The 13,546-nt window shown below is 40.6% G+C and overlaps 1 protein-coding gene across 4 annotated transcripts in view, besides 1 other annotated feature; it reads right to left on the bottom strand.

Annotated features, from left to right (window-relative positions):
- DNAL1 (dynein axonemal light chain 1) overlaps positions 1-13,546 on the bottom strand; it is a 58,747-nt gene that overhangs the window by 17,373 nt on the left and 27,828 nt on the right. The gene's annotated exons all lie outside the window — the stretch shown is intronic.
- Positions 663-832: an enhancer, noted in NCBI's record as "experimental_36575 CRE fragment used in MPRA reporter constructs". NCBI's record gives its function as "activates a minimal promoter by MPRAs in K562 erythroleukemia cells, with activity observed for the introgressed 14:74152316 variant allele {active_cell/tissue: K562}" and the evidence as "EXISTENCE:reporter gene assay evidence [ECO:0000049][PMID:34662402]".

Below are 13,546 nucleotides of genomic sequence, written 5' to 3'. Positions count from 1 at the left end.
TCTAGTGAATATCAATGAGGAAAACCTGGCAAAGTTTGAGTGAATCAATTCAGTGAAATCTGTCATTAAATAAGCTGACTCTTTCGAGAATTGGACAATAACTGAACAGTCATTTAGCAAACTGGTCAGCTTCTGCATGTAAACAAGCCATTTCTCCCCTCAGTTTCTTACTCTGTAAAATGAGGAGACTGGCGCAATGAAATACCATCTCATACCCATTAGGATAGCTACTATCAAAATCACAGAAAATAGTAAGTATTAGTGAGGATGTGGAGAAATTGGAACCTTGTACACGGTTGGCAGGGAGGTAAAATGGTGCAGCTGCTATGGAAAACAATTTGGCCGTTCCTTAAAAAATTAATTATCATATGATAATTGATATCACTTAACAGGGGATCCAGCCATTCCACTTCGGGGCACATATTCAGAAGAAATGAAAGTGGGATCTCGAGATATTGGTACGCCCATGTTCACAGTAGCAAATTCACAATAGCCAAAAGATGGACGTGACCCAAGTGTCCACTGATAGACAAACGGATAAACAAAACATGGTATATACATACCGTAATAGAATATCATTTAACATTAAGCAGGAATGGGCTGGGTGCAGTGGCTCACATCTGTAATCCCAATACTTTGGGAAGCCAAGGCGGGCGGCTCACCTTAGGTCAGGAGTTTGAGACCAGCCTGGCCAACATGGTGAAATCCCATCTCTAATAAAAATATAAAAAAATTAGCCGGGCATGGTGGCACATGCCTGTAGTCCCAGCTACTTTGGCGGCTGAGGCAGAAGAATCACTTGAACCTGGGAGGTAGAGGTTGGAACGAGCCAAAATTGCGCAACTGCACTCCAGCCTCAGCGATACAGTGAGACTCAGTCTCAAAAAAAAAAAAAAAAATTAAGCAGAAAGGAAATTCTGACACACGCTACAACATGGATGAAACTTGAGGATATTACGCTAAGTTAAATAAGCCAGTCACAAAAAGATAAATGCTGTATGATACTACTTATATGAAATACCTAGAGTAGTTAAATTCGTAAAGACGGAAAGTGGAATGGTGGGTGCCAGGGATCAGGGAAGAGGCAGTAGGAAGCTACTGTATGCTTACAGAGGTTCAGACACACAAGATGAAGAGAGTTCTGGAGATGGATGGTGATGGTTGTGCAAGTCTACTTACTACCACTGAACTATACACTTAAAAATGTTTTAGATGGTAAACTTTATGTTATGTATATTTCACCACCATAAAAAACATTGGAAAAAATGAGGAAGTTGGACAAGTTCTTTAAGGTTCCTCTCAGCTATTAAAATTTATGATTTTTTAAGGTCAACAAACCATTGTAAGTATTGAAAACAAAAAAGTAAATGTCTACTCTGTAAATAATATCATGTTGGAGGTTACAGAAGTGGGAGAGCTTTATGAAATGCCATAAAATCTATTTTTTTAGTTTGTTTTTTAGTTTAGAGACAGAGTCTCGATCTGTTACGCAGGCTGCAGTACAGGGCACAATCAGGTCACTGCAGCCTTGAACTCCTGGGCTCAAGTGATCCTCCTGCCTCAGCCCCCTGAGTAGTTAGAACAGGCACGTGCCACCATGCTTGGCTAATTTAAAAAAATTTTTTTTTGTAGAGACAAGAGTCTCACTATGTTGTCTAGGCTGGTCTCAAACTCCTGGCCTCAAGCAATCCTGCCTCGACCTCCCAAAGTGCTAGGACTATAGGCGTGAGCCACCATGCCCAGCTGACCTCTATTTTAGACTATATGTAATGAGGATGATGATGATGATTATTGCTCTGTATAAAGTAATGAATCCAGGTAACACAATGTTGCTTGAAAATTGTTGTGGGGATGTGATTTATAAACAGTTAAGAATTGTTGGTAGGTAGTTGATTACATGTTAAGTATACAAAAATAAATGGCTTTTATATTATTTAATATAAACAGGAAGGGTGTTAAAGAGAAATGCATCATAGCAACAAAAACTATAAATTACCCAGGAAATTAAAAATAGAACTACCATATGATTCAGCAATCTCACTACAGGGTATATAGCCAAAAGAAATGAAAACAGTATGTCGAAGAGATAGCTATCAGCACTCCCATGTTTACTGCAGCACTATTCACAATAGCCAAAATATGGAATCAACCTAAGTGTCCAATAATGAATGAATGTATAAAGAAAATATGGTATATCACACAATGGAATACTATTCAGCCATAAAAAAGCATGAAATCCTGTCATTTGTTACAATGTGAATGAACCTGGAGAACATTATGTTAAGTGACACATCAGACACAGAATGACACTGCATGATCTCACTCATATGTGGAATCTAAAAAAGTTGATCTCGGCCAGGTGCGGTGGCTCACGCCTGTAATCCCAGCACTTTGGGAGGCCGAGGTAGGTGGATCACTTGAGGCCAGGAGTTTGAGACCAGCCTGACCAACATGGTGAAACCCCGTCTCTACTAAACATATAAAATTAGCCAGGTGTGGTGGTGGGCACCTGTAATCCCAGCTACCTGGGAGGAAGAGGCAAGAGAATCGCTTGAACCTGGAAGGTGGAGGTTGCAGTGAGCTGAGATCACACCATGGCACTCCAGCCTGGGTAACAAGAGTGAACTTGTTATTCTCAAAAGAATAATAATAATAATAATAAATAAATAAATAAAAAAAGCTGATCTCATGGAAGTAGAGAGCAGAACAGTAGTTACCAGAGACTGGAGAGGGGGGTGGGGGGCTGAGGGGAGGATGGGAATAAGTTGGTAAATGAGTACCAAGTTACAATTATGTAGGAGAATAAGCTCTGGTGTTCTATTGCACAGCAGGTTAACTATAGTTAACAATAATATATACAGTCATGCAATGCATAACATTTCATCAATGATTGACTCTATATACAATGGTGGTCCCATAAGATTATAATAGGGCTGAAAAATTCCTATTGCCTAGTGATATCCCAGCAGTCATAATGTGGTAGCACAAGGCATTCAAGTTTGTGGTGATACTAGTGTAAACAAACCTACTGAGCCACCAGCCATACACACGCATAACACATACACTTATGTATAGTACATAATAATGATAGTAAATGACAATATTACTGGTTTATGTGTTTACTATACTTTTTATAGTTATTTAAGATATACCCCTTCTACTTATTAAAAAAAAGCTAACTGTAGGCTGGGCGCGGTGGCTCACGCCTGTAATCCCAGCACTTTGGGAGGCCGAGGCAGGCGGATCACCTAAGGTAGGGAGTTCGAGACCAGCCTGACCAACATGGAGAAACCCTGTCTCTACTAAAAATACAACATTAGCTGGGCGTGGTGATGCACGCCTCTAATCCCAGCTACTCGGAAGGCTGAGGCAGAAGAATCGCTTGAACCCAGGAGGTGGAGGTTGCGGTGAGCCGAGATTGTGCCATTGCACTCTGGCCTGGGCAACAAGAGCGAAACTCCAACTAAAAAAAAAAAAAAAAAAAAAAAAATAACTATAAAACAGCCTCAGACAGGTCCTTAAGGAGGTATTCTAGAAAGAAGGCACTGTTGTCATACGAAATGGTGGCTCCATGTGTGTTACTGCCCCTGAAGACTTTCCAGTGGGACAAGATGTGGAGGTGGAAGACAGTGATATTGACTCTGGGTAGGCCTAGGCTAATGTATGTGTTTGTGTCTTCATTTTTAACAAAAATGTGTAAAAAAGATTTAAAAATTTAAAGATAGAAAAAAGCTTATAGAAAGCTTATAGAATAATGAAATAAAGAAAGAAAATATTTTTATACTACTATACAATGTGTGTTTCCAGCTGTTATTACAAAAAAGTCAAAAAGTTAAAAAAATATTGAAAAGTTTTTAACATTAAAAAAGTTGGCCGGGCGCAGTGGCTCATGCCTGTAATCCCAGCACTTTGGGAGGCCAAGGCGGGCAGATCACTTGAGGCCAGGAGTTCGAGACTAGCCTAGCCAACACAGTGAAACCCTATCTGTACTAAAAATACAAAAAAAAAAAAAAAAAAAAAAATTAGCCAGGCATGGTGGTGAGCACCTGTGATCCCAGCTACTCGGGAGGCTGAGGCAGGAGAATCACTTGAACCTGGGAGGCAGAGGTTGCAGTGAACTGAGATTGAGCCACTGCACTCTAGCCTGGGCAACAGAGCGAGACTCCATCTCAAAAAAAAAAAAAAAAAGTTACAGTAAGCTAAGGTTAATTTCTTATTGAAGAAATAAAAACAATATTATTATTTTTGAGACAGAGTTTTGCTCTTGTTGCCCAGGCTGGAGTACAAAGGTGCGATCTCGGCTCACTGCAACCTCTGCCTCCCAGGTTCAAGTGATTCTCCTGCCTCAGCCTTCCAAGTAACTGGAATTATAGGCATGCACCACCACGCCTGGCTAATTTTGTATTTTCAATAGAGATGGGGTTTCTCCATGTTGGTCAGGCTGATCTCGAACTCCCAACCTGAGGTGATCCACCTGCGTCAGTCTCCCAAAGTGCTGGGATTACAGGCGTGAGCCACCATGCCCAGCTAAACATATTATTTTTATTTATTTATTCATTTATTTAGAGGCAGCGTCTTGCTCTGTTGTCCAGGCTGGAGTGCAGTGGTGTGATCAGAGCTCACTGCAAACTCTAACTCCTGGGCTCAAGCAATCCTCAGTTTCCTGATACCTAGGACTACAGTGTGCATCACCACACCCAACTAATATATATATATATATATATATTTTTTTTTTTTTTTTTTTTTTTTTTTTTGGTAGAGATGGGGTCTCGCTATGTTGTCCATGCTTGATTCCAACTACTGGCCTTAAGTGATCCCACCGCCTCAGCCTCCTCAAGTGCTGGCATTACAGATGTGAGCCACTGTGCCCAGCTAAAACATTGTTTATAAATTAAGTGTAGCCTGTGTACAGTGTTTTATAAAATCACCGGGTGCGGTGGCTCATGCCTGTAATCCCAGCACTTTGGGAGGCCGAATCGGGTGGATTACCTGAGGTCAGGAGTTTGAGACCAGCCTGGCCAACATGGTGAAACCCCATCTCTAGTAAAAAATATAAAAACTAGCCGGGCATGGTGGTGGGCTCCTGTAATCCCAGCTATTCAGGAGGCTGAGGCAAGAGAATTGCTTGAACCCAGGAGACGGAGGTTGCAGTGAGCCGACAGGGTGCCACTGCACTCCAGCCTCAGTGACAGAGTGAGACTCCGTCTCAAAAAAAAAAAAAGCAAAAAAACAACAAACCCAACAACAACAAATAACAACAACAACAAAAAATCTACAGTTGTGTACGGTAATGTCCTAGGCCTTCACATTCACTCATCAGTCACTCACTGACTCATCCAGAAAAACTTGCAGTCCTGCAAGCTCCATTTATGATAAATGCTCTATACACCTGTATCATTTCTTATATTTTACACTGTATTTTTACTGTACTTTTTCTATGTTTAGATATACAAATACTTACCATTGTGTTCCAACTGCCTGCAGCACTCAGTACAGTGATATGCTGAGCAGGTTTGTCGCCTAGGAGCAATAGGCTAAACCATATAGCCTATGTATGTAGTAGGCTATACCATCTAGGTTTGTGTAAGCACACTCTATGATGTTCACACAACAACGATTGCCTAATGTTGCATTTCTCAGAATATATCCCAGTCATTATGTGATGCATGACTGTATTTCAAAATAGCTAGAAGAGAAGATTTTTAATGTTCTCACTATAAATAAATAATGTTTGAGTGATTGATATGCTAATCACCTTGGTTTGATCATTACACAACGTATATATATGTATCAAAACATAGCATTGTACCCCATGAATAAGTATAATTATAATGTGTCAATTTAAGAATTACTCAGAAATAAATCTTTATACATGAAATATACAAGGTCTTATAGGAATTAAAACTATGGAATTCTACTGAAGGACATAAAAAATATGAATACGTCTTCTCATAAGATTCATTATTATAAAGCTATAACTTCTCTCCAAATCAATTCACAAATGTAATATTTAGGAGTTTTTTCATACATGGACAAAGATGGTGGAGCAACACAGCTTGTACAAAAGATTGCAACAACCTAAGTGTCCGTCAGCCGTGGCCTAGCTAAATATATTAATACTATGCATTGAGGAAAACAAGGTGGAACTTACCTGTATGTGCTGAAGTGGAATAATTTGCAAGATATATTAAGATAATTTGATAAAATGATTCTCAAGTTTCTCTGAAGAGTAAATGCCCACAAATATTTTGAAAAAGGAGAGAGGATTTTTCTTGATATCAAAATAAATTCTAAAGTTAAAGAAAATTAAAGCAGCATGATATTGAAGCTGAAATTTATAGAAAGAACAACAAACAGAAAGAAACTGACCATCCAGGAACCTACCCATGCATATCCAGGAGTTTAGCAGGTGGCATTTACAAACAGTAGGAAAAAGAGACTTTTCAATAAATGGCTAACCAATTAAAGAAAAAAAAAAAAGACATGATACCTGCGCCTCATGACACATGTAAAAATAAACTCCAGATGAATTAAGAGTATAGACTTAAAATTTTTAATTAAGAAGATAAGACTATTTTTACAATCTAGTACCTAAGACCTTCTATGTAAAATACAAAACACTGAAACCATAAAGATTTGACTAACAAAAATTTTTAAATACCATTTGGTAACCACGAATAAGGTAAAAAGACAAGAAACAAACTAAGAGAAAATATATCAGTTTTGAAAACTGCATTAAATTTCAATGTGGAAACTGTGATCAGATTGCCAGGGTCTGACTAACATGACTTAAGTCTTCTGCTTCTTCCTCTTCTCTGCCTCCCCTTTCCTTCTGCCCTTCCCCTCTACTTCATTAGCTTCTTTTTTGTTTGTTTATCCAATTATCTCTCAGTGAACACTTAGGTTGCTTCCACCTTTTGGCTATTATAAATAATGCTACTACAAACATGAGTGCATTTTTCTGTTTGCATTTTTTAAGGAGAAAATAATCAGTATTTTAACAGAAAGAGTATTAAAAATGTACACAAGATTTAAAAAAACCAACAAGTATAAAAACAAAAGTCTTGGCCGGGCACGGTGGCTCACGCCTGTAATCCCAGCACTTTGGGAGGGTGAGGCAGGCGGATCACAAGGTCAGGAGTCCAGACCAGCACGGCCAATATGGTGAAACCCTGACTCTACTAAAAATAAAAAAATTAGCCGGGTGTGGTGGCATGTGCCTGTAGTCCTAGCTTCTTGGGAGGCTGAGGCAGGAGAATCGCTTGAACCCGGGAGGTGGAGGTTGCAGTGAGCCGAGATCCAATCACTGCACTCCAGCCTGGGGGATGCAGCGAGACTCCGTCTCAAAAAAATAAATAAATAAATAAAAATAGAAAAGTCTTTCTCACCCTATACCCCAGCTCCCTTGCCCAGAAGTAACAGCTATCACCAGAAATACTCTATGCATATATGTACATATAAATATTCACTTTGCTTTTTCTACACTTCATATATCTTGCAAATTATTCCATTTCAACACACAGAGGGAAGTTCCACCTCATTGTTTTTCCTCAATGCATAGTATTTATTAATATATTTAGCTAGTCCACTGCTGATAGACACTTAGATTGTTGCAGTCTTTTGTATAAGCTATGTTGCAGTGAAATACTTGCTCTACCATCTTTGTCCATGTATGAAAAACTCCTAAATATAGAATAGGTGGGACAAAGAAATACACATTGAATATTGTGATAGCTATTGACAAACTGCCTGTCTCAGCAACAGTGTTTAAGGATGCCTGTTCACAACTGCTACTCCAGGCACACTGCCTATGGGGTAGCACTGCTAAAAAAAAAAAAAAAAAAAAAAGAATACCTGCTCACTATATTTGAATACTTTACATAACTGAGCCTCAGTTTCTTTATCTTAAAATAAGGATAATAACATCTACTTGTGAGCTGGAAATGAGATAATGCATGTAAAGAGCCTACTATGTGGTTAATAAATGATAATTACAACAACAATATAATAGCATTTTCAATATTGATAATTATTAGGGATATTAAAAAGTACCTATAATTCAGTAAGAAAAAGATAAATCTAGTAGAAAAATAGGTTAAAAATGTGTTTGGTCAATTTCCAAAAGATGAAACCTAAATGACTAGTATATAAAAAGATGTTCAGCTGGGCCCAGTGGCTCATGCCTGTAGTCCTAAGCACTTTGGGAGGCCGACATGGGCAGATTGCTCGAGCTCAGGAGTTCAAGACCAGCCTGGGCAACATGGTGAAACCGTATCTCTACAAAAAATAAAAAATATTACCTGGGTGTGGTGGTGCGTGCCTGTAGTCCCAAGTACTTGGGAGGCTGAGGTGGGAGGATCACTTAAGCCCAGGAGGTCGAGGTTGCAGTGAGCTGAGATTGTGTCACTGCACTCCAGCCTGGGTGACAAAGTCAGACCACCATCACACACACACACACACACACACACACACACAAATATATATATATATATATAAATATATGGGCCGGGCATGGTGGCTCACGCCTGTAATCCCAGCACTTTGGGAGGCCAAGGTGGGCGGATCACGAGGTCAGGAGATCGAGACCATCCTGGCTAACACGGTGAAACCCCGTCTCTACTAAAAAATACAAAAAATTAGCCGGGCGTGGTGGCGGGCGCCTGTAGTCCCAGCTACTCAGGAGGCTGAGGCAGGAGAATGGCGGGAACCCGGGAGGCGGAGCTTGCAGTGAGCCAAGATCATGCCACTGCACTCCAGCCTGGGCGACAGAGCCAGACTCCGTCTCAAAAAAAATAAATAAATAAATAAATAAATATATTTATATATATGTTTATAAAGAAAAGACATTCAAAGTCAGAACTGACTAGATAATGGAAATTAAAACAACACGGTACTTGCCGCGAACAGTGGCCTGTAGTCCCAGCTACTCAGGAGACTTGAGGCAAGAGGGTCACTTGAGCCCAGGAGTTTGAGTTCAGCCTGGACAACATAGCGAGACCCTGCCTCTAAAAAAAAAAGAAAAAATCAACACCACCACCAGACTCCATTTTGCCTATCATACTGGCAAATGTTAAAAATATGAATACTACTGGCTGGGCGCGGTGGCTCATGCCTGTAATCCCAGCACTTCGGGAGGCCGAGGCGGGCAGATCACGAGGTCAGGAGATCGAGACCATCCTGGCTAGCAAGGTGAAATCACGTCTCTACTAAAAATACAAAAAATTAGCCAGGTGTGGGGGCGGGCGCCTGTAGTCCCAGCTACTTGGGAGGCTGAGGCAGGAGAATGGCGTGAACCCAGGAGGTGGAGCTTGTAGTGAGCCGAGATCACGCCACTGCACTCTAGCCTGGGCGACAGAGCAAGACTGCATCTCAATTAAAAAAAAAAAAAAAAAAAAATGAATACTACTCACTGATGTTGAGGGTGGAGGGGATAATCTTCATCCATGTGCCAGTGATGGAAATAGAAACTAGCATTAGCATTGTGGGAACAATTTGAGGTACCTATCAAAAATTTAAAGGCACAAAAATATCCTCAGCTTTTCTACTTTCATAAATCTATCCCATCACATGTAAATACGCAAATAACTGCTGAGGGACATGTGTGCAAAGATGTTCACTGCAACATGATTTGTGGAAAGAGGAAGAAATTGAGAGAGAGAGAGAGAAAACCCACACTCCTCACCCAAGAAAAAAAAACCTGGAAATAATCGAAATGCCCAGCAGTATAGGAATAGTTAAATACATGATTGTATACTGATACTGTAGAAAACTACACAGCTATTTTTAATGTATTAAATCTGCATGTATTGACATTGAAGGATATTATTGATATATTGTTGAGAGAAAAAGCTAAATTACAGGAAAAAATGGCTTGTACACTATCAGAACAAACAATATGACACACACACACATATACACAGAGCTATTTATTTGTATATCCACAGAAAATATTTTAAAGTGCACAAAACAATAAAATTTTTGTTACTTCATGGAGCTGGTAGGGAATAGGAGGTAGAAAGACCAAAGATTTTCACAGCATATTTCACATATTTATAAATTGCTTGATTTGTTTTCGCAATGAACATATGGTACTTATAGAATTAAAAAAAAAATTTTTTTTTTTTTTGAGACAGTCTCTTGCTCTGTCACCCAGGCTGGAGTGCAGTGGCGTGATCTCGACTCACTGCAAACTCGGCCTCCCAGGTTCAAGTGATTCTTGTGCCTCAGCCTCCCTAGTAGCTGGGATTACAGGTACGTGCCACCACGCCTGGCCTAGAATTAAAATTTTGACTCCGTCTCAAAAAAAAAATATTTTATTTTATTATTTACTTATTTATTTATTTATCGAGACAAAGTCTCACTCTGTTGCCCAGGCTGGAGTGCAATGGCGCAATCTCGGCTCCTGCATCCTCTGCCTCCTGGATTCAAGCGATTCTCCTGTCTCAGCCTCCCAAGTAGCTGGGATTACAGGCACGCGCCACCAGGCCTGGCTAATTTTTGTATTTTTAGTAGAGACGGGGTTTCACCATGTTGGTCAGGCTGGTCTCGAACTCCTGACCTCGTGATCCACTGCCTCGGCCTCCCAAAGTGCTGGGATTACAGGCGTGAGCCACTGCGCCCAGCCTACAATTTTAACTTAATAGTTGTGTAACTGTAATAAAACATGTTGAGTCACTGAATAAACACTTACAGAGTGTCTACTATATATATCAAGCACTATTGTAGATGCTAATTAACAAAACTGAAATGGCCAGGCCCTCACAGTGGCTCACGCCTGTAATTCTGGCACTTTGGGAGGATGAGGCAAGAGGATCACTTGAGGCCAGGAGTTCAAGACCAGCCTGTACAACATAGTAAGACTCCATCACTACAAAAAAAAAATTTTTTTTTTAATTAGCTGGGCAAGGTGGTGCACACCTGTAATCCCAGCTATCCACCTGTAGTGCCAGCTTCTTAGGAGGCTGAGGAGCAAGGATTGCTGGAGCCCAGGAGTTCAAGATTATAGTAAACTATACTAGTCCGAGATTACAGTGAGCTGTAATCATGCCACTGCACTCCAGCCTGGGTGAGAGAGTGAGAACCTGTCTCTAAGCAAACAAAAATCAAAACTGAATGGTCATTAGGATTTGTGTGTGTGTGTGTGTGTGTTTGTGTGTGAGAGAGAGAGAGAGAGAACAAGAACAAGAATTTCAGGTAATAATGAGTAACATGAAAAAATAAAATTACAACTGGTAGGAGTTACTCAGCCAGGCGTGGTGGCTCAGGCTTGTAATCCTAGCACTTTGGGAGGTTGAGGCAGGTGGATTGCTTGAGCCCAGGAGTTCAAGACCAGCCTGGGCAACATGGCGAGACCCCTACTAAAAATACAAAAAAATTAGCTGAGTGTGATGAGGTGTGTCTTTAGTCACAGCTACTTGGGAGGCTGAAGCGGGAGGACTGCTTGAGCCCAGGAGACACTCCAGCCTGGGCGACACAGTGAGACCCTGGCTCAAAAAAATAGTTACTCCACCAGGCATGGTGGCTCACGCCTGTAATTCCAGCACTTTGGAATTACTCAGCTCAGGCTGAGGCCAGAGTATTGCTTAAGCCCAGGAGTTTGAGATCAGCCTGGGCAACATAGTGGGACCCTGTCTTTACAAAAAATTAAAATATTAGCTTGGTATGATGGCACACACCTGTGGCCCCAGCTACTCAGGAGGCTGAGGTGGGAGGATGGCCTGAGCCCAGGAGGTCAAGGTTGCAATGAGCTGTGATTGTACTACTGCACTCTAGCCTGGGTGACAGAGTGAGACCTCGTCTAAAACAAAAAGAATTAGTGCTTAGAGAGCTGCTTTAGATATACGGTGATTGGGTCACCTTTGAGGAGGCAACATCTGAGCTGAGGTGTAAAGATCAAGAAGGAGCCCACATCGTGATTGGGTCACCTTTGAGGAAGCAACATCTGAGCTGAGGTGTAAAGATCAAGAAGGAGCCCACATCGTGATTGGGTCACCTTTGAGGAGGTGACATCTGAGCTGAAGTGTGAGGGTTAAGAAGGGGTCCGCATTGTGGAAATCCATGGCAATAGAGTTTTTAAGACAGAGGGAACAGCCAAGTATAAAGATTCTCAGGTGGGAATGAATTGTGCATGGTCAAGGAACAGAAAGAAGGCCAGTCACTAGAGATTATCAACTAGGAGAAGAGAAACATGAAATGAGATCAGAAAGGAAGGCAAAGGCCAGATCATATATACAAATGGGTTTATAATGTACCTCAATAGTTTTCCTGAATAGTTATAAATCAACCCCTTTCCTTCAACTTAACATTCCATGTTTCACACATTACAGTAATCATTTTTAATTTACTGAGACAGCTATTTAAATCATGCTATGAGGCAGATGTGTCTAGATGAATAAGTCATCTAGTATGTGAACATATTAGAAACCCAGTATCTGCATCCCAATGCAGCTTTCTTTTTCTTTCCTTTTTTTTTTCCCCTCTGTCACCCAGACTGCATTGCTATGGCACAATCATAGTTCACTGTAAACTCAAACTCCTAGGCTCAAGCAATCAATCCTTCCACCTCAGCCTCCCCGAGTAGCTGGGACTATAGGCATGTACCACCATGCCTGGCTAATTTCTTTTTAAATTTTCAGTAGAGACGAAGTCTTGCTATGTTGCCCAGGTAAACTCCTGGCCTCAAGGGATCCTCCCACCTTGGCCTTCTAAGTGCCAGATTACCGGCATGAACCACTGTGCCCAGCCATAGCTTTGTTTTTCTTTATTCTGCAAATAAGCAATAAAGCTTTTGGACAAAACCCCACATTACACCCTGGAAAGAAAAACAACTATTGGCTATCATTGATAGGAGTGTATAAAAAGTGACGATATCTAAAACAAGTGATAGTTCAGCCAGATAGCATCTTAATACACAATACATACCTTTAATCCTATATTTATAATTTATTTGTGGTCTCTGGGTATTTATTACATTTTATGGAATAAATTACATGCTATAGTAATACTTGAGAATTTGGGATTCTATAAGGGATTCTATAAATACCTGGGGGAACATCAAGTATATTGACACTAAAAGTTCTGGAGTACATTTATCTGCAAACTATTTCTTTATAGATAACTCAAAGTTACATTTAGCCTGAAATATAATAATTCTGAATTTCTGTATTACAATTTAATATTTTACGCTTTATGCACAATGTCTCTATATTTGAAATTTTTCCATCTAAGGCTCAGAAACTGGACAGAAGGCTAAATATCCTTAAACTTACCAATTTATTTAGAACATCACAAATATCAAATTTTGCCCAGGTGTGGTGGCTCACGCCTGTAATCCCAGCACTTTGGGAGGCCGAGGCAGGCGGATCATGAGGTCAGGAGATCGAGACCATCCTGGCTACTACGGTGAAACCCCATCTCTATTAAAAAAATACAAAAAAATTAGCCAGGTGTGGTGGTGGGCGCCTGTAGTCCCAGCTACTCGGGAGGCTGAGGCAGGAGAATGGCATGAACCCGGGAGGCGGAGGTTGCAGTGAGCTGATATTATGTC

This window comes from Homo sapiens, chromosome 14 (assembly GCF_000001405.40).
Source record: "Homo sapiens chromosome 14, GRCh38.p14 Primary Assembly".
Lineage (NCBI taxonomy): Eukaryota > Metazoa > Chordata > Mammalia > Primates > Hominidae > Homo > Homo sapiens.
The sequence above is the reverse complement of the archived record's forward strand: the minus strand, read 5'-3'. Positions and strand labels throughout refer to the sequence as shown.